The sequence below is a fragment of the Homo sapiens genome, chromosome 2, assembly GCF_000001405.40.
Source record: "Homo sapiens chromosome 2, GRCh38.p14 Primary Assembly".
Taxonomy (NCBI): Eukaryota; Metazoa; Chordata; class Mammalia; order Primates; family Hominidae; genus Homo; species Homo sapiens.
In genome coordinates this window covers 45,893,979-45,919,665 of record NC_000002.12, presented here as the reverse complement: position 1 = coordinate 45,919,665, position 25,687 = coordinate 45,893,979, and the positions used below count along the sequence as shown (strand labels likewise).

Sequence of the window (25,687 nt, the reverse complement as noted above, 5' to 3'; positions counted from 1 at the left end):
ACGATCTGTTGGGATGTCCTCTTCAGAGGCCTTTGTCTCCTGGTGGCCTTCCCCGCCCCTGATCCTATTGGTGTTCTCTAAATGTGAGCCAAACAGCACAGAATGTGCCGTGGCCCTCCCTTGGAGGCCAGTTCACACTGGAAGAGGGGTGCAGGAGGAAGTTCCCCAAATTCAACCCCAAGACAAGGCATAAACACACTTCAGTGGAAAGGCAGCAAATAAGAGAGGCCAGAGGGCAGAAGGCAAATACCACTGCCTACGCTGGCTTTCCTGTGGTTTCTCTAGCCAAGTAATTTAGAGATCACATGTTTTGGAAAGGAAGCAGGTGTCCGTCTCCAAGCCTGCAGAGTCCACGGCCCAGCCCAGCCTTCCCACACCTGGTTTCCAAGCTCCACAGTGATCCTCACTCACTGGCTGTGTTCTTTCCCTTGACAGGTTGTCCGTACGGCATCAGCCCAAGAGCCCAATTCATCAGCTCTTTTCCCCTCTGTCTACCCCACAACCCCTACTCATCTCCCTACCCCTGATGTCTTGTTTTCAATTAAATTCAAGTGGAACCAGCTGTTTCCATATAACAACCTTGATTTACATGCAGCTTATCCAGCCCACGTGGGCTGGCCTCCAGCCTAACTGTTCTGACACCCTCTCCAGGTGGCTGTCCATCCCAGCTGGCATACCCTGGCCACTGCCATATCATGCCAGCTCTCCCTGAAGAGGAGGGGTGTGTGACAGCAAAGGGGAATGAACACAGCTTAGATGGTGAAAGGAGCTGTGAGACCCTCCAACCTCTGCAACATTCAATAATACGGCCTGTCCTTTGGGCTTCTGCAAAATACAAACTAGTAGGATATGCTCTGAAGACCTGCACTTCTCCCCTCCCTTCCCATTCCCCCCCTCGCCAACCTCAGCCCTGCGGTGCCTCAGCCCCAGGCCCACTGCAGAGGACTCTGGCCCATGAAAAGTCATTCCTACATGTGCCTTTAGTTTCCAGCTGGTGGACAGATTGGTTTACTATATACAACCATAAAGCTTCAGAGATTTGGGTTGAATTTGAATCATCGGGTTTTAAAGTAACTATAGAAACCGAAAAATGGTTTATGTGGTTATTATTTTTTCCTCCTCCAATTGCATTTATTGTCCGAACCCTTTTCTGTTCTGGCCCTGTTCTCCTCCACAGTCCTTGCAAAATGCTAGTTGAATAGAGGCTGAATCTTAAATATGTATTGTTGATAAAATTGTTTGGTACAATGACCAGAGTTTAACTAAAAATAAATGAGTTACAATTTTGGGAAAAAAAGTTAAAGCTGTGCCACAGACTAGACAAGAGAAAGCTAAAGCCTACATTACACAGTCCCCACCCTTGCTGGGGAACGAAAGGCTCCACCTGCCCCTTCCACAGCCAGCACATGAGATTTTACCTGCAGTAGCGAGAGGTGACAGCGTGCTGGCAGTCCTCACAGCCCTCGCTCGCTCTCGGTGCCTCCTCTGCCTGGGCTCCCACTCTGGCGGCATTTGAGGAGCCCTTCAGCCCACCACTGCACTCTGGGAGCCCCTTTCTGGGCTGGCCAAGGCCGGAGCCGGCTCCCTCAGGTTGCAGGGAGGTGTGGAGGGAGAGGCGCCAGCGGGAACCGGGGCTGCGCGCGGCGCTAGCGGGCCAGCTAGAGTTCCGGGTGGGCGTGGGCTTGGCGGGCCCCGCACTCGGAGCAGCCGGCCGCCGGCCCTGCCAGCCCTGGGCAATGAGGGGCTTAGCACCGGGCCAGCGGCTGCGGAGGGTGTACTGGGTCCCCCAGCAGTGCCGGCCCACGGGCGCTGCGCTCGATTTCTCGCCGGGCCTTAGCTGCCTTCCCGCGGGGCAGGGCTCGGGACCTGCAGCCCACCATGCCTGAGCCTCCCACCCCCGACCGTGAGCTCCCGTGCGGCCGGAGCCTCCCCGACGAGCGCCGCCCCCTGCTCCACGGCGCCCAGTCCCATCGACCACCCAAGGGCTGAGGAGTGCGGGCGCATGGCACGGGACTGGCAGGCAGCTCCACCTGCAGCCCCAGTGCGGGATCCACTGGGTGAAGCCAGCTGGGCTCCTGAATCTGGTGGGGACGTGGAGAACCTTTATGTCTAGCTCAGGAATTGTAAATACACCAATCGGCACTCTGTATCTAGCTCAAGGTTTGTAAACACACCAATCAGCACCCTGTGTCTAGCTCAGGGTTTGTGAATGCACCAATTGACACTCTGTATCTAGCTACTCTGGTGGGGCCTTGCAGAACCTTAATGTCTAGCTCAGGGATTGTAAATACACCAATTGGCACTCTGTATCTAGCTCAAGGTTTGTAAACACACCAATCAGCACCCTATGTCTAGCTCAGGGTTTGTGAACGCACCAATTGACACTCTGTATCTAGCTACTCTGGCGGCGACTTGGAGAACCTTTGTGTGGACACTCTGTATCTAGCTAATCTGGTGGGGACGTGGAAAACTTTTGTGTCTAGCTCAGGGATTGTAAACGCACCAATCAGCGCCCTGTCAAAACAGACCACTGGGCTCTACCAATCAGCAGGATGTGGGTGGGGCCAGATAAGAGAATAAAAGCAGGCTGCCTGAGCCAGCAGTGGTAACCTGCTGGAGTCCCCTTCCACACTGTGGAAGGTTTGTTCTTTCACTCTTTGCAATAAATCCTGCTGCTGCTCACTCTTTGGGTCCACACTGCCTTTATGAGCTGTAACACTGGGAAGGTCTGCAGTTTCACTCCTGAGCCGGTGAGACCACGAACCCACCAGAAAGAAGAAACTCCGAACACATCCAAACATCAGAAGGAACAAACTCCAGACGCGTCACCTTAAGAGCTGTAACACTCAGCGTGAGGGTCCACGGCTTCATTCTTGAAGTCAGTGAGATCAAGAACCCACCAATTCCGGACACAGTAGGATGTAAATGTATGAACAAGACACTCTGTAATCGGGCTTTATTGTGTTTAGACTGTATGCTCTTTTAAATGTACTGTAATCTAAGAGATCAGAACACCCAAGATTCCCGATTGGCTAAAGAAATACTCAATTTGAGAGGATGTCAAAATTGCTCAAATAAAAGATGATCTGCAGACTTTGCCAAATAAGAAATGGCTTATTTCATTGGGTGCAATGGCTCACACCTACAATCACAGCACTTTGAAAGATCAAAGCAGGAGGATCACTTGAGCTCAGGAATTAAAAGACCATCCTGGGCAACAGTGAGACCCCCATCTCCACACATGAAATTTTTTTTTTAATTAGCCAGGTGTGGTGGTGCACACCTCTAGTCCCAGCTACTTGAGAAGCTGAGATGGGATGATTGCTTGAGATAAGGAGGTCAGGACTGCAGTGAGCCGTGTTCACACCACTACACTCCAGCCTGCATGATAGATCTAGACCCTGTCTAAAAAAAAAAAAAAAAAATTTCTCAGTGCATATAGAAGAATATAGAAGAACTAGTTCTCTCTCCTGTCATAAAGATACTACATTTTAGAAAATTTTAAAGGAAAAGTAAGTAGAGATAGAAAAGACTAACATGAAATCCATCAGACACCACACCCTTCTCAATGTCCTTAGAGTTCCTTCCTCATACCACCATCTCTCTCTTGAGCCCTAGAGCCATCCTAAACTCTCCAAGTTCTACCACCAATTTTCAAGGCTCCCTACCCAGACAAATTTTTCTCCCTGATTACAAGTCTGTGTTGAGGGGATGTAGATGCTGCATAATTCATCTCAGTGGAAGAGATACCCCGATTTCTCTCTCAGGTTCCTTAAATCCACCTGTGACTGCAGGTGTGTATCACTTGTGGGACAGTGGGAGAGGAGGATGCTTGGGAACTAAGAACTGGCTTCTCTCATCCTGGTCCAGCCAGTTACTGAGTGACTTCTAGTCAGGTCATGTCTGTACATGAGACCAAGGGCACATGTGAATCAACCAGCACCAAAACAAGGCCGCGACTGAGCTCCACCAGCACCACGCTCTGCTGAGCTAAAGGCAAATGAGAAAAAGATCATACGAATTTGATAGAACTTTGAGATACTTGAAAATCTACATCTGCCTCTAGGAGGCCTCAGGACCTTTCATTTGTCCTTTGTCTACTCCTCAGGTAGAAACAACTTGCTCCTGGAAAGACCCAAAATAACCTAAATCTCTAAAGATAAGGAGGCTGAATTCTTTAGGGTTCACTGGAGCTTTGGGAAATTCTAAAATACTCATACAAAACAGCTGATTCCCAATCCTATTAATATTTAAACCCTTTGTTCTTGGAAGTTCATGCCATCGATCTTAAAGATGTGCTTAGAAGCTAAGAACAGATGCATTAAATACTTAAATCTATTAATTACTAAAAAATGAAACAAAAAAATAGAGACTCATTGGGCTGAAAGAACAGCATGCCTTACTCCTTCATTATATTATTTTGCAAAAAATCATCAGGTGGAAAGAACAAAAATGTCAGTCTAAAATACAATATGGAGTCTGGGTACAGTGGCTCACGCCTGTAATCCCAGCACTTTGGGAGGCCAAGGTGGGCAGATCACCTGAGGTAAGGAGTTCGAGACCAGCCTGGCCAACATGGTGAAACCCCAACTATACTAAAAATACAAAGATTAGCTGGAGGTGCTCGCTTGAACCCAGAAGGTGGAGGTGGCAGTGAGCTGAGGTCATGCCACTGCACTCTAGCCTAGGTGACAGAGACTCTTGTCTCAAACAAACAAACAAGCAAAACAATATGGAAAGTTCTAGCAAAAGGATACTTTTTTTCAGCAGTTGATAGTAAGAGAAAGTGGGGTTTTGTGGGAAAACCAAGAAAGAGTTCCCTATTACGTATGCATGGATCACTCCCCAACAGCTGAGTGCTCCTACATAGCTATACATGGCATTCATTACTTCCTATGTATGCCAAACCAATAAAAGCAACACTTGATTAACTTGCCATCAATGAAAGACTTTATGGACTCTTTAAAATTTCTAATCAGATTATGGTTCATTGACTTTAACATGTGTAGAAAGAACCTGCTGAGGAAGCTCTAAATGCATGGTCCAGGGAGAGGAAGAGGAACCTAGGAAGCAGATGGGGGACGATCAGCCTGGTGGAGTGAGAGAAAACATGGAGGTAGGGACTGGTTCCCAAACCAAAGAGCAAAGAAATAGTTATCAGTCTCGCACACTTCCTGGACCACCATGGCTACCTACATGCCACAATTCCTAAATCTAGATCTACAGCACAGAACACTCCTGAGCTCCAGACCCAGGGAGCCACCAGCCCTCTGGACCACACATCGTTGAGACACATCCAAGTCCACATGTCCAAACAGAGCTTGCTCATCCCTGCCTCTGGTGTTCCATATTCAGTCACTGGACATATCGTCCACCCATCTTATTAGCTATTCTAGACACTCCAGCATTTACCCTCCACCTGGCTTGCATTGTTATTTTTTTGAATTCACATATGAATTTATCTTCCTAATTATAAACTCCTTAATGCCTTCATAGCACCTAGCATGATATTGTATGCTTCCACGTAATTTAAGTCATCAGTAAGTTATGTGAAGACTAGAATGTGAATCACACTTTGCTACACATGTAGAGCTGTATCTGCTAAGAGCTCTTGACATTGTTAACGGTTTCAATCCAGGAAGAAAAGTACTAGGCTCCATTAAGTTTGTAGGCCACAAATAAAATCTCAGTAAATTCTGCATCGAGGATAAAAAGAAAGGAGGGTACAAATTCTTGTTTTTCTAAGACTTGAGGAACAGACACTCCAGTTTGGGCAGGATTCCTTACAAGGGAAGTCCTAGAATCATCGTGGATGAGAGGTCACATTGTGTTGGGCTGTAATGTGTCTGTTTATACACTGGCTCCTCTCCCTGACTACACACTAGACACCTGGATGGCAGGGACAATGTCTGCAGGTTATATTCCCAGCAGCCTTGGAATGCACTCAATTTATTATTTGTTCAAGTGAGTGAGTGAACATATGCATGGATAGACAGAAAAACTGGTTTACTAATGCTGAAGAAGGTCTTTCAGCCAGAAGCCCCAAAAACTAGGGTTGGAGAGATCAGGCCAGGCGACAAGACTTGAAGCAGCTCTCAAAGGTACATGAGGCCCCTTTTCCAGATACCGGAACTAAGAGTCATTTAATCCAAGGAACACCAGAACCCAGAGCTCCACTGAGCAGGGAGTCTGTACCAGGAGCCAAGCGCTCTTGCTGGCTGGGCATGGTGGCTCACGCCTATAATCCAAGCACTCTGGGAGGCCAAGATGGGTGGATCGCTTGAGCCCAGGAGTTCAAGACCAGCCTGGACAACATGGCAAAACCTTGTCTCTACAAAAAAGATACAAAAATTAGTCTGGCATGATGGTGCTCGCCTGTGGTCCCAGCTACTCAGAAGGCTGAGGTGGGAGGATCATCTGAGCCCAGGGAGTTTGAGGCTGCAGTTAAATGTGATTGCACCACTGCACTCCAGCCTGGGTAACAAAGCGAGACCCTGTCTCAAAAGAAAAGAGCTTGTCTAGTCAAAACACTCTGAGGAGAATCTCCTGCTCTCTGACAGCACCTTCTCACACAAAGTAGTCAAGACACCACCTTACTTTTCCATAAGTCTGGAGCTTAGAGAAGATACACTTGATGGTGGTACTTGTTTAGCTCCCTCACTGAGTGACTCCTGACCACCAGTTCCAGATATTTTTGATAATGTCACTATGGAACCACTGTGTCCTCAGAATGGCCCCATAAGGTATGGGCTTGAACTCCATCAGGACTTCATTCTGGGCTCTGGCGTGGGTTGGATGGTGGTCCCCAGGAGGCTCCTAGGCAGCTGACTGCAAATGTACATGTGGCCCCAGACCCTGGAACTAAGTCTATTTTGTCATTTCCAAATGACAGACCCTTCTCTCAAAAGCTTTTCCTTTGTAATCTACTGTGTTAGAAGCCTCCAAGTTCTACCTGGCTGCTCCAGTGCAGATTTTCGGTGAGATGCGCTTCTAAGGTGCGTTCCTAAGTCCACTCCATGCCACCTGCAGAACCTGTCTCTCATGGTCCCCAGGTTGGCTCCTTCCAGCCTCCTGAATTATTTCAACTGCCAGGAGCTGTCAGAAGCCTTCTCCTCTGATGAAGGCTCCAGCTGTGAGCCTCAGCCTTCCCCAATCAAGGCCCTGCAGTGTGTGGCAGAACCCCAGCCCCCACCCACTCCCAAGGCAAAGCACTCCTTCTCCACCAAGTGAAGGCTAAGCAGGCCCGGGATGATGGCAACGTGTGCTTTTCTTCCTCTCTCACCCTCCTTGTACCTGGAGCTCACCACCAGGGCAGTGCCCAGGCCCTGCAGCTGCAGAGATGTGGATCCTGGGGCCCTCTATCTATTACTGATTAGCCATTTAGCTCCAGGCTGGACATTGACCCCTTATCTCAACTCTGTCACGGGATAACACCTTCCCTGCCTATCTTCAGAGTGTTGTAGAGACTCCAGGGATTATCAAAGTACTTTGAAAAACAAATGGTTGCCATCGTTCCTGGTATTGTTCTTCTCTCCCCAGTTCTATGAGAGGGGCGTAGCTATGACTGCTACACTAGAAGAACTGGGGAAAGAGAAAGACCCTGAAACTCCACTACCAGAATGCGTGGGAAACATTCTCCCAAGCTAGAAAAAAATGAAAACTTTTTTCTAGCTTTTCATTCTAAATAAAGACAACAACAACACAATAAAATACCACCACCACAACAAGCAGCAGCGGCTGACATACCAGCACCTGTTAAGATTTACCAGAGACCAGGACACACACTATCGCCATTAATTCTCATAACAATCCTACCAGGTAGGTATGGAAATCATAAGTTATCTGCCCTTATCAAAAAATGAAAGCCTAGAGAAGGTAAAATAACAAGGCTAGCAAGTGGCAGTATAGAACTAAATGCAGGCCCAGCTCACCTTTGTCACCTGTGACCGTTGTGGGGCAATCCCTCCAGCTTCCTTGAAGCCAGGTAACATGACCAACTCAGTTATCTTCAGGTCTGGGGCATTCCTAAAGTCATAGAAAATGGACTGACAGAGACTGAGGAGTCATACAATCAGCCCATCCCTCTGCCTACATCCAGGACTAACAAAGAATATTCTTTCAAAGCAATTTCTCATCTGGTCTCTAGGGTTCAGGGGAAAGGGACCATGTTTAGCCCAGAGGTATGGCCTCCTGGAAATAGTCACAGCTGCTTCAAGCCACATCTGGGATTTTTGGACCCTCAAGAGACTCTGCAATGCTCTGCATGCATAATGCAGCATTTCTGAGCAGGTGAAACACTCCCGTCCAGTGCAGTGCACATGCTGTCTAGCCCTGGTTTGTATTCTCAGTGATTCCCTTTCCTGAGAAGAAAGGTAGGGAAGGTTGTGCAACAGTGGGGCTAGACAGGTGTCAGTGGGAAAAAACAACTTAAAAATAAACCCAGCTCTTCCTAATGTTGATTGATAAGCATTTCCCCTGGAAATTTGTAAAGAAAAACCCTTTAGGCTGAAAATGCCAGTGGTCAGTATCTCCTGGGTAAATGCAGAATGCTCAAGCCTTTGCTAGGGTTTGAAACAAAGGCCTGCACATGGCAGCTGCTCAATGCAATCAGTCCACCTCTCCATTGAAAAAGCCCGTGAGTAGTGGTTCCCATTTTTCACTTTGTGATCAGCATCCCTTCTTGCCCTGTTTTCCATTCCCCAGTCTCCCATTCTCCTCCTACACACCCAAGACACTCAGCAAACTTGCCACGGCACGCTCTGCTTGCCAGGCCTTCAAGTTGTACGGTTTGCTGCACAGCAGGACCAGCGTGGGACTCTGTCCAGCACATCCTGGACTGCTCACCGCCCCCTGCCAGGCCTGCAGCTCTAGCCCCCTAACCTTGGCTAGGTTCTCTCCCACCCTTGGAACCATCTTTCCTCCCTGTTCACCATGGACCCGCCTACCTCCAATAGGTAGGAAATAGTTAAGGAAAGAATCTAGTGTTTACTGAGCCCCTGCTGTGAGACACTGAGCTGGGCTATCCAACAGATAACACTTCATTTAATGATCATAACAAACTTGTTTAGGAAGTGTGAAGTAACCAAGGCTTGGAGATACCAAGAACCTCACCCAAAGGCCCTGAGCTAATAACCAGAGAAGTTAGGGTTTGAACCCTAGCCTACTCCCATGTAAGGTGCTCCCAGGTTATCCTTTCTATCGTGCAACTCACACCCCCAAAGTAGTACTAGGCTAGAGAAAACATGATTGTGGACACGGATGTCTCCCCACTGGATGGCAAGTGTTTTCAGGGTGGGCTTCCTGTCTTAGCACCCTTTAGATTCCTCACCACCTCCTCCTTCCATTTCCCAGTTACTCCTAGTCTGGAACTCTGCACACAGCCACTGGGACTCAAGAACAACCAGTTCACAGTGACAATGGCCTTCAGAGACACTTAAGGTGAGGCTCCAGTTACATGGGATGTTTTTCTTAACAGCAATTTAGCAGTGGCATTTTTAGAATCATTAACTACAAATGGAACTACACGTCATTGTTATTAGGTGTCTTATTTTGCATTAAGTACCTTGTAGCATGAGTTGAGGTATCCTGGTCACACATTCCTGGGCACTTGGCTGGGGGGGGGCGGTGAGTTTACTGGAAAGGGCCATTTACAGAAATGCCACTCTGTCACTTCTACCTTGCACATAAGCAGAAGTGTGATTCCGGTTCTATTTGAGGGAGAAGGCAGTAGACTGTCTCCATGGCAACCCCAAGCAGCATGTGGAACTAGAGCCTAAATAAGGTTTGGGGAAAATTAAGTTGTTGGCCACGTGTCTGCCCCACCTTGTCATGGGCAGTGGCTTGGAATACCTGCCTGAAGGAAAGAGACAGGTATGGTGACCTGGAAGGGATGTTCTAGGAACAAGTCCAGGAAGCACTGACTCACTGACTCCTGCCTGGAAGGCTTTTCTAAATGCCTCACTGTGAAACGGTAGCCTCACCAGGAAAACTAAGCACAGAATGGGGGTAGGGGATGAGGAAGAATAATTTAGAACACACTTGCTAGCTTGTTCCCTAAGGTTTTATTTTCGCTGATTTTTGTTAGCTTTGTTTATTTGCTATTTTAACAACTTTCTAAATTTCAGAGCATTCTCAACTATGCCCTTTAGGAACAATACAACCAATATCATTTCAGGAATAGTCTTAGCTTAGCTATAGGCTGGCCACCCCTTAACAACTTCCCTTGGAATGGAATCATAATGTTTGGGATGGGGGAGATTATGATGCACAGTACTGGCAAGTCTGTTGAATTGTTAATATCAGCTCTAATGAGAAAATGAACATCCACATCCCCCTTCTGGTGCCTACCACCTCGTAATACTTGGCAAACTCATAAACCAATTGGAGCCTTCCTTTCTTGGGGACAATAATCTTCGTTCATCTTATAATGGCATTTTGAATATCAAATAAAATAATGACCATGAAAGTGCTTTGTGAGACAATATAATCTGCGAATTGAAGGAAGTGGTACTATTACTAATAAATGCAGGATTTAATGCAAATAAGTTGCATGACTAATGACGTTATTTTAGCAAAACTGTTTGGTGTTTTTCTCTGCCAATCTTTTTCTAAGTTCAAAAACAGATGGTGAAAGAAGTCTCCATGACTGGCTGACTTCAAGGTCAAGGCTCAGTCACGCATTTTTATGTGGCGCAAAGAGTGGCCAATCGATTAGACATAGAAATCAGAGTGCTAAGTAGAAAGCTGCCAGAATAGAGGACTGCGGGGCTCAGAGGAAGGAGAGGGGTATGAATCTGCCCACTGTACAGCCTGTCTGCCCCCATCTCTGTGGTTTTGCCCACCCTGGAGGATAATCCTTCTCACACAGGGAAACTGAGGCAACATTCTCCCGGAGAGATCCTCCACATTGCCCCAGTGGGACCTTATCGGCCTCTTCCAGTCTTTCCTATCCAGCTAGTGTTGAGAAACCTGAGTGTGAGAAGAACACAGGACTCATTCACAATGAGTCATGGCTTTTGATGGGAAAGATATCCAGGCTATACCAGTGCATCCTCAGGACCCTTGCCCCTCAGATGAGGTCCACAAACAGCAGCATCGGCAAGACCAGGAGCTGGTTTGAAATGCAGAAGCCACAGCCACATGGTCACCCACTGAGTCAGAATCTGCATCCTAACACAATGCATCTTTCCCATTGGCTAATCCTTTGTCCAATGGGCGAGAGAGAGTGGAGCAGTCGCTTCCAGTCACACTTACTTAGCGTTTGGGAGCAGACTGGGTCTTCAAGTCTCTAAACCCTAGGGTCCTTGCTCCTGGTCCGTTTCTGGCTGTGTATTGCCTGGCCTGCAATGCCTGCAGCTGCCTCTTCAGCACTTGCTTCTTCCCAGTGCCTAGGAGTTATTTTATCATGTTTCTTTCCCTTCAACCTGTGCCTGAGAAGCAGATCCATAGGGCCAATGATGAGACTGGGAAACTGAGGGAGGTAAAGGGTAAACAGAGGCACAGTGAGGGGCCACATGACTGAGATATAATTCCTTCCCCTTGGCCAGCGGTATGATCAAGGGCCTGGAGTCTTGACTTCCATTCCTGCCCATCCATTAACCAGCCACTCACACTCTGGAAAATGCCTCAAAGGTCTTCTGCTTCCCCCGTCTCAAAAATGGGGTGATAATCGCCCTCCCCACTTCAGAGATTTGAAAAGGATGAAGTCGGACAGAATCCTAGAAGGTGAAAACTGGGAGGGGCATGGGAGATCATTCTGGACAAGGCGTTTTGTTTAACATAGATACCAGGCACTGTTCTCAGCACTCGGCAAGTATTATTAGCTCAGAGGATGGGCACGGTGAGGCTGTGAAGTAGGGACTGCTATGACACCCACTTCAGAAGGAGGCAGCAGAGACCCAGAGGTGGCCATTGGCTCAGTCACGCCCTCAGGTACTACAGCTGCGCAGTGGTGCTGTGCTCCACTTGGCCTTGGAGAGGTGGCCACGGCAGATGTGGGCTCATGCTCCTTCTCCCTGGACAGAACAGTCCATAGAATGCGGACCACGATGATTGGCACTGGGAAAATGACACACGTGACATGGGAAGCAGGCTTGGGCACACGCTCACTGCCTGCTATGCCACTGCCCGGAGAGATGAACAGGGCCTGCGATGACGCCCTCAGAAGTGTGCTTCGTCCATTGTTACCTCTGTGGCAGGGACAAAACTCGTCTTGGTTTTGTTCACAGGAGTGTTACCCCAACAGCTATTCAGCAAATGCAATGCAGGACTCGCAGATGTTCTTGGCTTTTGAACCCAGACACAATCCAGTGCATTCAGATATTTCCTCAATATCCAATTTGCCTGCCTCTCATTCCTGAAAGTCACTCAATAGGGGGCTGATTTATTTTTTCCTTTGCCAACTGCCAGTCCACTTAAAATCTTTTTATTCTCAGTCAGATGCTCTGTGATAGTTAAAGCTTCATTTTTCTCTTCTCTCGGGCTTTCTTTCCATCACTGGCCTGATCATGTCAGCAATCCTGGCATTTTACCTTTGCTCCTCAGAAATTTAACATGGAGCGTGTACCCTCTGACCGCCTTCCTTCCGTCTATACCACTTAGACCTCCGACGCCTAATTTTGGAGCAACTGGGGCCCCATCCAGCCTGGTCCCTGCAGGGGATTATGGGGAGACACTGCATTTCTCTCCTACTGTGTTCTCTGGGCCCACACTCACAATGCAGCTCCTTAAAGAAGGGCGGCAGGAGAAGCCCATGAAACACTGTCCCAGCCAAGCGCAGGGTGTGACCCATCTCTGAAGATGTTCTGAGTATCAAACAGAAGTTCCCATCAGTGCTGGCCCCAGGCCTCTGCAGGGTAGGCACATACAGCAGGCACCTCAGAAGCTGCCGGCACATTGATGCCCAGAGCTGCCGCCTGATGGAGGGTGGGCCAGCAGCAACAGATCAAGACCTTGGTTCCTGCTGCCTCCCACACAGAGCACATGAGTAGAGGGGAGCATCACCCTGTCAAGGCAGAGATAGCTTCCCCCAACCTAACCCAGCAGAGGTAAGATCAAAGGACGGCCCTGGAATCCCATCAGACAGGCCCATGCTCAAAACCAGAGGAAAGGTGTTTGGGGAGACACTGGAAACCCGTCCCCCTCTTCCCTGCCCTTGAATTAGAGCCATGCATAGCACCACAGGTAGAAAGGACTTGTCTTGGTTTAACTGTGGGTGTTCCGTTTTTGCTTTAGTAAATGTACAACTTTAAGTCTTCAGAGTACCTCACAGCAATTCTGCAGCTGAAGATCCACAGGGGTTTAATTAACCCAATTGCCTTTGACTTCCTGCCTCCAGAAACCTGTTCTCTGCACCTTGGCAATGTCTTGCCCCAAGCAGAGCTGCCTATGCCCTGTGAGCAGTGCAGCCTCCTGGACTCAGCACCAGCACACCAGCGGTGATCCAAATGACCAGAAGATGCCCAGTAGGCCAGGTGGTTGAGATTCTTCACCTAGGTCTTAGCAATCAGCTAGCGGCTTTCCCTCCCTAGCTCCAGCAATGTGTCAGGCAGAGTTGCGGGGAGCAGGAAAGCCGCTGCATCTGGGTCTACCAAGTTAGGATAATTCATGTTAGATTCCAGCATGCTATCATGATACCAACCCACGCTCCATACCCGGGTCATGTGGGTAGGGGAGGAGGGTTGAAAGCGCATCACCGCTGAAGATAGCCTGCCCACCCCGGCCCTTCATGTGGGCAGACACCATACCCCGCACAAGCACATCCTTCCTCCCAGGGAACCTCTTGGAGTAAAGACCTTCAAGGAAATTATTCCCACTGTGGGAGCCACATCTCACCCAATTTGTAACTGAGTACAGAGTTGAGTAAGCAGTTCAGGTCAACACGTGTGTTCAGGGACTATAAAGAGCATGGGCCGGTCTCCATTTACCCTTCAGTAAACATCCTATCTTTGTAGATCACAGTTGCAGTGTTCCACCACCTGGCATCCACCCTCCCAGCATCAGAGGTTCCCCAGCTAGGGCCCCGGCCAGCCCTCAGCCCCTTAGAAAGGACTTGCAGGGCCAGGATACACAGAGCCCGGTGAAAGCCCTGCTTTGCCCAGCTTTTAGGAAAGCTCACAGGGCTCCAATGTGCTTAAGCTGTGTTTTACCAGATGGCAGGGTGTTTTTTACCTGATTATTAAAGCCATAGTCTACTATGGCCCATCAACAGCCAATTTGGCCTCAGCAAAATAGATTTCAGCTCTCTCAGCACTAGTCTCCTAGCAATCAGCTCATCAATATGTATAATGTTTAGAAGCTGGATATTGATTGTGGAATCTAATGGACTCATTCAGGGTTCACCTTGACCTCTGAGTTACTTTTTTTTTGGAGCTTCCCTGTTTTCCCACTACCAGATTCCAAAACTGGGTTAGCGTGGGCTATGTTGGAGAGCCAGCCAAGAGGTTCCTGAGGCTTGGCCATAAGTCAAGGATGCTCTTGAGCCAGGGTTTGCCCTAGCCAGTGTGAGATGGCCTGGACTACGGCCTGCCCCAGCATTACTCTGAATTAACAAGGAGCTGCTGTTGCCATAGGATACAGCAAGCACCAGTGGTGTGATTAACACCGTAGCATCCAGTGAGTCCTGTGTGTCACCGTGCCTGCTGAAGTGATGTGGAGCCCCTGTCGCTGTCTGTACAATGGTCAACAAAGGCTACCAGCTCTCCATGGTCCACGCCCGGGACCTCACACGTGGACCCCCAGCTCCCCAGGTTCCCCTGACTCCTCCCCCAGGGCTCACCAACACATTCACAGCACATAGGCTCACCCAGCCCCCCTCTCATGGGTCCCTGCCATCAGGAGAATGTCCCATGCAGGGCTGGAGAAAAGGCAGGCTTCTGGGGCAGCGGGGAGACAGCAAGAGTCTTGGGAAAGAGGAGCGCATCTGGGACAGGTGGCCCAGGCAACCGGGGGAGACGGTTTCCAGAAAGGGATTAGTTTGATTCTTTTTCTTCCTGGTGAGATCCCCGAGCACAGCCCACTTACAGTAAGCCCTGGCCAGTTAGTAATCATCAACGCACATGGAGCTAAGACATTTCGCTTCTTGGCAGGGGAAGAAATGCCCAGAGCCCAACCCACCGAGCACGCCTCTGCCTTCTCAAAAGGCTCATCTCATCCAGAGCCAGCACAGAGACATGACTTTTTAAACCATTGTTTCATTTTCACATGTGATATAAGTCTGTGTTCTCCATTACAAATACCAAAAGTGAGAGGTGGTACTGTTAAGAAACCTCATCTTCTCCCCCTGTGATTTGCCCTGGATGGGCACGTGCCACCCCCATAGTGTTCAGCACAGGCAGGGAACTTGGAGTTCTTTTGGTTTCAAGACTTCTCGGTTCGCACGCAACCGGCTTCTTTCTAAGAAACTGTTTTGTCTGTTTGTTTGCATTTTTAAGAGAATCTAAAAAGCTGAAAAGCTTTTTTAGTAACATTTTGGATCTTGCACTTGATTTAATCCCAGCATATTGGGAGGCCGAGGAGGGCAGATCACTTGAGATCAAGAGTTCGAGACCAGCCTGGCCAACATAGCAAAACCCTGTCTCTACTAAAAATACAAAAATTACCTGGGTGTGGTAGTGCGTGCCTGTAATCCCAGCTACTCCAAAGGGTGAGGCACGAGAATCGCTTGAACTCAGCAATGGGAGGTTGCAGTGAGCAGGGATCATGCCACTGCACTCCAGCCTGGGCAACAGAGTGAGACCCTGCCAAAAAAAACAAACAAACAAACAAACAAACAAACAAAAAAAAACTGCCAGGCTACAAGCTCTCATATACAAATGCTCCCAAACTGAGGGGGATATGATGAAAGTGATGAGGTGGGAAGAGGGTTTGAGGATGTATTAACCCATTTCCAAGAAGGAAGACCTGGGCTCTCTAAAACTTGGAATCATTCCTCACTGCCTTGCCTTGTACATTCTACATCACTTTCTGGTCTGTGTGTCTAGGCTTCCCTGAACATCTTACATGGGGTTACCAGACAGGAGATAAAAATACAAGATGACTGTTTAAGTTTCAATTCCAGAAAAAATAATTCTTTATAACTATGTGACATGCAATATTTGGAACATAGTTATACCAAAATATTATACAGAGTTGATCTGAAGTTCAAATTTAACGGTGTCCTGTATCTTACCTGCAACCCTAATCTTGCTGGGTCTTTCGGCCTCATCTTCCCTCACAGCCCCAGCTGCTGCAACCCTGTCCCATGGGGATGGTGACGCCATACCATTGACACAAAATCCTTCCCTGTATCTCAAGTGAAGAAAAGGGGATGCTCTGTCTATGGAGTAGCCATAATATTCACAAAATTAGTATTTTTTAAAGCCTGTGTTATGTGCCTGTTAATGTATGGAGGAATAACTTCTGAACCAAGATGGCCTGAGGGTATTTCTTGCCAGGCAGGGATCCCTTGGAGGACTCCTCATTCACTGACTTATTTAATGAAGTCCCTCTGACTTCCTTCCAATCAACTCCCTCGGGCACTGAGACCACTGAAAACATGACTATTGATAGTGATTCACACTAAAACACATACTGAAGTGAAATCATTTAGACTAGCATTTCCTCAACTCAATTATATTATTTGGAACTAAACTATATTCACGTAGGATCCTCCTGGGGGGAAAATACATAATTCCACAATCAAATAAGCAGGAAGTTGTATGCTATATATGCCCATCTGGGAAAGTCACTGTACATCAGCATACAAAGGCCTGAGTAGTCTTGCAGTCCAGAAACTCCCAGTGCTCACTCAAGCACTATCCAAACTTATTTGGCCACAGAGCCCACTGAACTCCAGTTCCCTTCTAATAGCTATTAACCCTACAGAGAACACTTTGGATATCAGAAATGTAAATATTTTTGAAACATAACTAACCCTTGAGTTACTGTTTCTTTCTAGCCCCTACTTTAGGTCTGGGGGCTGGGTTCTTCAGAAGTCTTCCTAGCCAAGCTCCCAGACCAGTGTAGTCACAGTCTTTCTTGAAGACCTTACCCAAGTTCCAGCTCCAAGAACTTCCCTGACCCTCCTGGCCTCTCCTGCCCACTCCAGCCAGTTCCTCATTTCTGACTTTTCCCCAGCACAGCTTTTCACACATCCCATGTCCTCAGGATGTTAATCCAAATATCCTGATTTGACTTTTGCTAGTATTTTCTGATTACTTCATTTCTATCTTAGCTCCTCAGGCAGACTTGGAGCTACCTGTGGGCAATATCCTCCTGTTGGATCACAGCCCCTTAGTTCAAGATGGGCTGGGCATTGGCAGGCTGGGCATTGGCAGGCTTTTGGTAAGAGCTTATAGGCAGAATTCTGTTTACTGTATGTATTACACTCATGTTCCAATTACTGCAGGTTTCAGGAACAATGGATGTTTTCTAAGAGAGCCGTGAGCTGGCTTCTCTCATGCACTACGAGAGATGAGAGATGAATCCCAAAGTCGCCTTCTGGGCCCATATTGCTACACCTCCTAATCATCACCATGGCTGGGCAAACACTCCAATTCAAACCCAAGTGGGAGTGGGAAAGACCTGAGAGGGTTGGAGATTTTTATGAGGGTGAAATAATTTCCTAGTTTGTAAGTCAAAATTCCCAAGGACTGTGGGATCTACAACCTAGAAATTCAGATGATTTCAGTTCTTCTGTCCTGGAAAATACCACTTCACTATCCTAAGGCAAAGATGGCCATGTACTCTTATAAAAAGTTATTGCAAAATGACCTGCTCTTAAACTCTGAAGTCACCATACTCTTTTACCGCACCTGGCTGGACTTCAGGGTTTTACAGACATCGTGTGTGAGCTTCATCACAAACCAAGGCCAGCACGGTACAGACTTCCAAGAATTCAACTGCATTTCCATATTCTTCAGGGAACTTTAATCTTCTACCCCAAGACTGAGTTAAAAAGAAAAATCTGAGCAACAACAGGAGAGTCTCTAAGATACATAATGGGAAATGTAAACACATTGTACGAATCAGCTGTGCACACACTTCATCGTCCCAGCAGCATATTTCTTTCCATCTCAGGTGAATTATAAAAAAATCCTTCAAACTTTACACTCACAGCTTTAAATAGCCTTAGTTTCCAAGGTGAAATAGACTGATCTTCTAAATGACAAGTTAAAAATCTATCAGCCATACGTTGATTTTTGTAAATCGGTTCTTTTCTAAAAGGCACAAGTCTTTCCAAGAAGGCCCAGGGCAAACTTTATTGGATCTAGTTCCTAAAAATATTACATGAGAAATATGTGAACAGGCTAATACCTTACCTAGATGAAAACATGACCAGGTCGGAGCGTTTGGCCTTGGGTAAGAACCATTTTAACATTCTGAAACACTAATGCCTTGCTTGTCCCCATCTCAATCCTCAAGCAACCGATTAGGAGTACTCAACACAGACGGTTTTGTAAGCACAATTTGTACTAAGTTCTGGATTTTGTAGCAATTTTTCTGCATCTCAAATCTCAATGAGATTTCCAGTAAAATGGATTCCAAACATCTATATACATAGTAGAGTTTATGATATCAAATCATTTCTGCTCATCAGGACTCAGCCCAAATGTCAATTCATCAGAATCTTTCCCTAGCCAACCCAGCGAAAGCATCTCCATCCCACATATGTGAGGCATGGTTCTGTACCATGTTAATTACCCAGTTTCTTTCCCAAAGTCCTTACAGTACCTGTATTGCCTTACTCATTTGTTAAGTGTGTATTGTTCATCTCTCCTCAGCAGAAAGCAATCTAGTTCTCCTTGCAGTCAGGCCTTCTGTCTGGTTCAATCCTGTATCCCAAAATCATATGCCTGGCAGCATAAATTTAGGAATCAATTACATTTAAAAAGATTTTTACAGTGGTAAATTACACAAACGTGGTTAAAATGGTAAATTTTAAGTATATAATTCATTAGTATTAAGTACATTCACACTGTTGTGAAACCATTACCACCATCCATCTCCAGAACATTTTCATCTTCCCAAACTGAAAATCTCTACCATTGAACAATAGTCCTCTATTCTCTCCTCCCTCTAGCCCATGGCAACCACCATCCTACTTTCTACCTCTATGAACTTGACTATTCTAGGACCTCATGTAAGTGGAATCATAGAATATGTGTGCTTTTGTGACTGGCTTATTTTACATAGCATAATGTTTTCAAAGTTTGTCCATGGCGTAGCATGTATCAGAATTCCCCTCCTTTTGGGGGTGAATAATATTCCACTGCATGTATAGACCACATTTTGTTTATCCATTCATCTACTGATGGACATTCGAGTTGTTTCCACCTTTTGGCTATTGTGAATAATGCTGTTATAAACACTGGTGTATAAATATCCATCTGATCAGTTCCTGCTTCCAGTTCTTTGGGATGTATACCTAGTGTTGGAATTGCTGGATCATATGGTAATTCAATTTTCTGAGAAAATGTCATGCCGTTTTCCACAGGGGCTGCACCACATTACATGTGCACTAGCAACAAACAACAGTTTCCATTTCCCCACATCTTCATCAACGCTTGTTATTTTCTGGGTTTTTTCCAACTGCATTTTATCCGAAGCAACCGTTCCCACTTAAATCTGTTATAGATTAGCTGATCTAGTAAGACACTGAACTGACTTGGTTTACTGTGCAATATATAGTCAGAGGTCACAAGCAGCTAAGTAAAAGTAACTTATCTTTCATAGTTGAGCCCGGGCTAGTAGAAGAAAGATTTATTTCTGGATATTTAGAGCCCCTTCATGCTAGAAATATAACCAAGAAATGAAAAGAGACACAATTGCCGCATGGCTTTCTCCCCAGGTGGTGTCAGGCTTTTCTCCACACTGCCCTGGTCAACAGCAAGTGGAACTTCAGGCAGGAATGCTCTGCACAGCACTACCTACAGGCCCAGCCACTTCTGAGAGAGAATTCAGGGCCTTCGGGAACTATGGTGTTGGCCATTAAAACTTGGAAGGGGCTAGGCACAGTAGCTCATGCCTGTAATCTCAGCACTTTGGGAGGCCGAAGCAGGCAGATTGCATGAGCCCAGGAGTTCAAGACCAGCCTGGGCAACATGGCAAAGCCCCGTCTCTACAAAAAAATACAAAAATTAGCCAGACATGGTGGGGCTCACCTGTGGTCCCAGTCACTTGGGAGGCTGAGGTGGGGAGATCATCTGAGCCTAGGGAGATTGAGGCTGCAGTGAGCCATGATTGTGCCACTGCACTCTAGCCTGGGCAACAGAGTGAGACTCTATCTACAAAAAAAAAAAAAGAAAAAAAATTTTTTAAAAAGACTTGGAAGGAAGGAGGAGTGGCAATTATAATCATCTGAATGCAATGGCCTGGCTTTATCTTTGCCCAACACTGAAGAAGCCTATAAATATCAAAAGGGGGAAAAAGTTTAATTTCCAAAGACAAAGTTTTCAGACCTATGTGACCTCTGAGAGAATAAGGCCATCTGAGAAAACATTTCCTGAAGGTCAAATCCAGGCTTAGGGAATGAGGCCACCAGCCAAAGCTCAGTCTCCTTTCACTCAAAACGGCTGCAGTCTTCCTGTCCTGCGGGACTTGGATTCTAAAGAGAAGGCGCTATGGCCTATTGGACAGTCTCCCCAGCCTCTAGCACAGGGCTTGGCACAAAGCCAGGAATGAACATGTAAGTCCTGAAACAATGAGTTGGGTGTATGGCCTAGCTAAGAAGATTGGGGGCTGCTTTCTTTTTGGGACATTCCACCCTGACTGATGCCTTTTTCATGGACCAGGCCTTAGAGTTCTGGCAGACCCAAGACAGGGGTCCTTCACAGAAGTCCCTGTGATCATCATGGCATGGCCTCATGCGAGTTCAGCCAAGGCAGGCCTTCTCCACTCCCTCCTCAGAGCCACCCTAGGAAATCCTGATCTGGTTACAATAGTATTCAAATCCCTCTCTCTACTCCTCTATTTCTATGTCCCACCCCTCTCCATCTCCCACACTGGTACTCTCTTCCCACAGTAACAGTAGTGGTAATGATAGTAACAGCCAGCTTCATGTTTTATATAGTGCTTTCAATTGCACTGGTTTATTAGATCCTCAGCATAACCAGATAGGAAAGCCCAGGGGACATCTGACTTACTCAGAGTCCTCAAGCAATGTGTGGTGGGACCAAGCTTCCAGACTCCAGCGACCCAGTCCTCTCTGAGTAGCTTTCTGTTCCTTAAGTGTTATCCAAGTATCTCCTAGTGTGAAAGTCAAATGCCCTACCCTTTGCTGCTGCTCTCTGTTACCCACTGAGAAGACAGACAGCTTCCAGCAGGTAGATCCTAATCACACTAACATGCTCAGACTGAACATAATTTCATGTGTTTGTGGCTGTTTTAAACTATGCCCACAAATTCTCTCTTACTCCTCCCTTCAGAGGTGAAGCTTAACTCCCCTCCCTCCTAGTGTGGGCTGGACTTAATAACTCGCCTCTAATGAATAAATAAGGTGAAGCGATGAGTTGTGATTTTAGAGACTAGGTCATAAAAGCCACGTGGCTTCATCTTTGCTTTTTGTTTTTGGGAATTAGACTATTACCAGTCATCTCTATCACGAGGGGCCTGCAAAAGGGAACCACGCCTGTGCCTGGTGTGCACTTGCCCAACTGCGTCCTTATTGACTGAGATGAAACTGCTGGGCAAGAAGAGGTATATACTTCTGAAATGACTATCATAGAGATCGCCCAAATCACACCAGAGGTTGGGCAAATCAGTATCCTACCAGCAGTTTATCCGGGTGTCTCATCATGCCCTTGTCAGCAGTGATTATTAAAAGCCACTTCTTAACTCAAATAATTTAATTTCTTGTGATGGAGTTTCAGGAAGAACCATGGAAAGATATGTGAGTGGCTAAGAAAACATTTCCTCTCAAATCATAAACCATATTGCTGTTTTCTCCATCTCAGTACCCCCCACACTGACCTTGACTCCTCTTACTTCAGCTGGGCTGCAACCAAGGCAGGAAACAAATAATCTCTGTCATGAAAGCCACTGAAATGTAGCCATAAAAAATGGGGTGCCATCTCCTCTTGCACCTCTAAACATCTGGCAATTATCATGGGCAAAGTGCCTTTTACCCCACTAAAGATACTCAATTGCATTCTGTTCTGTAACACTAACTATTCTTTCATCCATTTGACCTACATAAACTTTCTTCAAATTTTAAAAATAAAAACAAAAAATAAAGATGATGTATGTCTATTAGCACAAAACAAGATGGGCAACCTGACCAAAAAAGGGGCCCTGATTTCCAAGTTCGCAATGATGCCGTCTCTCACAGTGATTACCAGGCTGTGTCCTGAGGAAGATCAGTGTCCGCAGGTCTACAGATATTACATCACCTTCAGGAGATACAGTCTGGGAATGCTGGCCAAGATTACATGAATGGACGGGCCGATAGATGGACTGATGAATGAAATATATTCATGCCTATACTTACTGAACTAAAGAGTGAAGTTTTCTAGATAATTTGAGTATGTGTGTAATACAGTTTTAGATATTTCATATTATGTTATATTTAATACTACCAATGCAGTTATTAATAGTAATTTTCTTTTTTTAAGAGATAAGATCTTGTTCTGTCACCCATGCTGGAGTGTGGTGGCACACTCACGGCTCACTGCAGCCTCAAACTCATGGGCTCAAGGGATCCTTTCACCTCAGCCTCCCAAGTAGCTAGGACTACAGGCGGAAATATTCAGCTAACTTCTTAAATTTTTATTGAGATGGGGTCTCGCTATGTTCCCCAGGCTGGCCTTGAACTTCTGGCCTCAAGCAATCCTCCCATCTCAGCCTCCCAAAGCATTGAGATTACAGGCATGAGCCACGGTACCCTCAGTCATTTTCTCATATGTCCTTGCTTCAAAGGCTACACATGAAGCTCTACTGCGCACCTAAGTCACTGTTGGTTACTCAGGAGAGCATATTCAATCTCAGGATTATTTGCCAACTGCATATGTTTTCTCTGCAATCTACTCCAATAAAAGTATACATGCACTGCGCTACTTTGATAAGAGGTATAGTGACTCAAAATTGCCTTTTGTCTTGTAAGTATTTACGCACATTTCCCAGAAAAACCTGTTTCTTGATTCGAATATGTAAACCTAGTATATAAAAGTCAGAAAAGAGAAGTTCAGAAAAAAAGCAAAAGTGGGAAGGACAGGCAACAGGCATGTGGATGGTTGCAACATCCTTTGGGAACAGTATTTCCAAGGAGACAGAATGGAGCAAAAACTCTTTTAACTCCCTCCCAGCCACAGCCACGTAAAGTCCATGACTTTCATCTAGGTGCAATGGCACAAGCAGGTATGGTCTGCTAGTCAGGAAGTGGAAGGTCACCTGAGCTCCAGAGTTCGAGGCCAGACTAGGCAACATAGCAAGAACCCAACCTCTAAAATTTAGCAAAGAGTCCATGCCTTTCAAATTTCTTCCCTTAGACCCCACACAGACCACTCTAGGCATGGCAGGGATAACTGACCATTTAATCAACCTACAAAGAGCGAGGTTAACTGACTCGGACAAGGCAACACAGCCAGGTTGAAGGACCAAGACCCAGATATGCTTACACCTCAAAGGGGCAACATCTAGGTTAGCAACACTCATTTGTGGATGACCACCCCACTCCTGCGCATCCAGGACAACCATTGTGCAGTGCCCACGCTCTACCTGAAGTGCCCTCCTTCATCTGAGGCCTTCCTCGTGGACAGTGTCACACGGTGAACTTCAGCCACAGCCCAGACACCAACTCCTCTGGGAGCCCCTTGCCTGCATCCTCCACCCTTCTCTATCACAGCCCCAACCCCTGCGGCCCTACAGCACTTCCTCTACACCTGCGCACCTGCGTAGATTCCTGCCTCACTGAGCTGATTCCTGCTTTCCTACTGCACTGAGATTGAGACCATCCTTTTCCACTGGATTGCCCCAGCCCCTAGCAGAGATTAAGGGCTCCGTACAATTTGATTCAGCTGAGATGGAAAAGCTGACATCATCTACCCTGCATGCCATTAGAGTGACTTCTACCAAATGAATAAAACATGATCATTTTGCATAAACTCAGAAAAGCATTTTTTTCCTCTAACCAAATTGAAGAAGAATTAATTGAGCACTTCCTGGTGTCCTAACAGTTAATTCCTTTTTAAATCACCACATGGCTGCCATGCCTTGGGTGGCTGTACCATGTATCCCCACCATCCAGGGACCAGCCAGATGACATCAGGGTGCGGAGAGGCAGTTAGGCCTCCCCTCATTGTATAGCAGAGTCTTGTTTTAATGAAAAAGTCCCACTTTCTTCCCCGACTGAAACTCCCTTAAGTCCATATAAGTCACTGTGGATGGAGAGGTACTGTTACCGTAGCTGTGTGTGTACTGAAGGGGCACCTCTACAACCGACAGTGGCCAGAAGTGAGAAAATAAAATGGAGAGTAGTCTAGAAACATGTGCCTCATCCAACCCACTCCGCCTGAAAAAAACTTCCTTCCTTTCTCAAGAGACACCTGGGCGCCTTTTCATTCTCCCTACCACGTGGCCAAATGCTCACAACTAATGCTTAAGTTCTGAAGTTTACCCAGGTAGAGACGGAATCATTGATGACATTTATGTGTTCACTCAAAACAAACGAACGGGGGCACAGGGGCTGATGCCTGTAATCCCAGCACTTTGGGAGGCTGAGACAGACAGATCGCCTGAGGTCAGGAGTTTGAGACCAGCCTGGCCAACATGGCAAAACCCTGTCTCTACTAAAAATACAAAAATTAGCCAGGCGCAGTGGTGGGCACCTGTAATCCCAACTACTCGGGAGGCTGGGGCAGGAGAATTGCTTGAACCCAGGAGGCGGAGGTTGCAGTGAGCCAAGATCGCGTCATTGCACTCCAGCCTGGGCGACATGGTGAGACTCCATCGCAAACAAACAAATGAAAAACACAAAAGGCAAAACACATAACTTTCTTCTACTTTAGAGGAAGTGGAAGGGAACTACTGTGTGTGTGTGCCAGGCATCATGGAGAATGTTTCACATGCACCGTCAACACATCCTCACGTCCACTCCAGAAAATGTATCACCAACCCTCATCCTAGAGTGAAGACAACCACATTTCAGGTAAGCTAAGTAACTTGCCCAAGGTCACCTTCCTTCACACCCTGCAAAGATGTGTCATCTTAAGAGATTCTTCAGTGTTAACTAAATGACGCTACTCCCCAGAGCATTCCATCTAGTTTGCCCTCTATCTTAAGTTTATCCTCTTGATTTTTATTGGCTTCCTTATTGGACTCAACTTCCTTTCCCTTAAGATGTCGCTACCTGGCATTAACCAGGTGTTCATTGCTCAAAGTAATCAGTTTCCTCAATCCTCCTTTATTAAACAACCTGTTTCCTTAATCACTCCCTATCCCCAACCCGCCCCCAGTGATTCTGCTACTGAGTGCTTGCTGGCTAAAATCAGCTCTAAGAGATCTTCGAAAACTGATACCACAACAACTCTCATTACCACTAGTCAACAGACATGCACTATTGAACACCTAATGTGTGCCAACCCTGTGCGACAATGTGTATGGGCTGCAGGGTATGGAAGGGATCAGGACAGTGTTTGGGTGCCTCCTATGCCCAGGGGCATTACACATTACCTCTTTAATCTGGGGTACATTTATATCCATTTTACAAATGGGC

General features: G+C 46.7%; 1 protein-coding gene across 19 annotated transcripts in view, besides 5 other annotated features; it reads right to left on the bottom strand.

Annotated features, from left to right (window-relative positions):
* PRKCE (protein kinase C epsilon) overlaps positions 1-25,687 on the bottom strand; it is a 536,712-nt gene that overhangs the window by 268,325 nt on the left and 242,700 nt on the right. The gene's annotated exons all lie outside the window — the stretch shown is intronic.
* Positions 226-275: a silencer, noted in NCBI's record as "silent region_11445". NCBI's record gives its function as "represses an Ori minimal core promoter by ATAC-STARR-seq in GM12878 lymphoblastoid cells {active_cell/tissue: GM12878}" and the evidence as "EXISTENCE:reporter gene assay evidence [ECO:0000049][PMID:35858748]".
* Positions 15,003-15,072: an enhancer, noted in NCBI's record as "active region_15697". NCBI's record gives its function as "activates an Ori minimal core promoter by ATAC-STARR-seq in GM12878 lymphoblastoid cells {active_cell/tissue: GM12878}" and the evidence as "EXISTENCE:reporter gene assay evidence [ECO:0000049][PMID:35858748]".
* Positions 25,454-25,513: a silencer, noted in NCBI's record as "silent region_11444". NCBI's record gives its function as "represses an Ori minimal core promoter by ATAC-STARR-seq in GM12878 lymphoblastoid cells {active_cell/tissue: GM12878}" and the evidence as "EXISTENCE:reporter gene assay evidence [ECO:0000049][PMID:35858748]".
* Positions 25,454-25,655: a biological region, named in NCBI's record as "ReSE screen-validated silencer GRCh37_chr2:46121150-46121322".
* Positions 25,483-25,655: a silencer, noted in NCBI's record as "fragment chr2:46121150-46121322 (GRCh37/hg19 assembly coordinates)". NCBI's record gives its function as "represses an EF-1alpha promoter that drives an FKBP-Casp9 reporter gene in an ReSE screen in HepG2 liver carcinoma cells {active_cell/tissue: HepG2}" and the evidence as "EXISTENCE:reporter gene assay evidence [ECO:0000049][PMID:32094911]".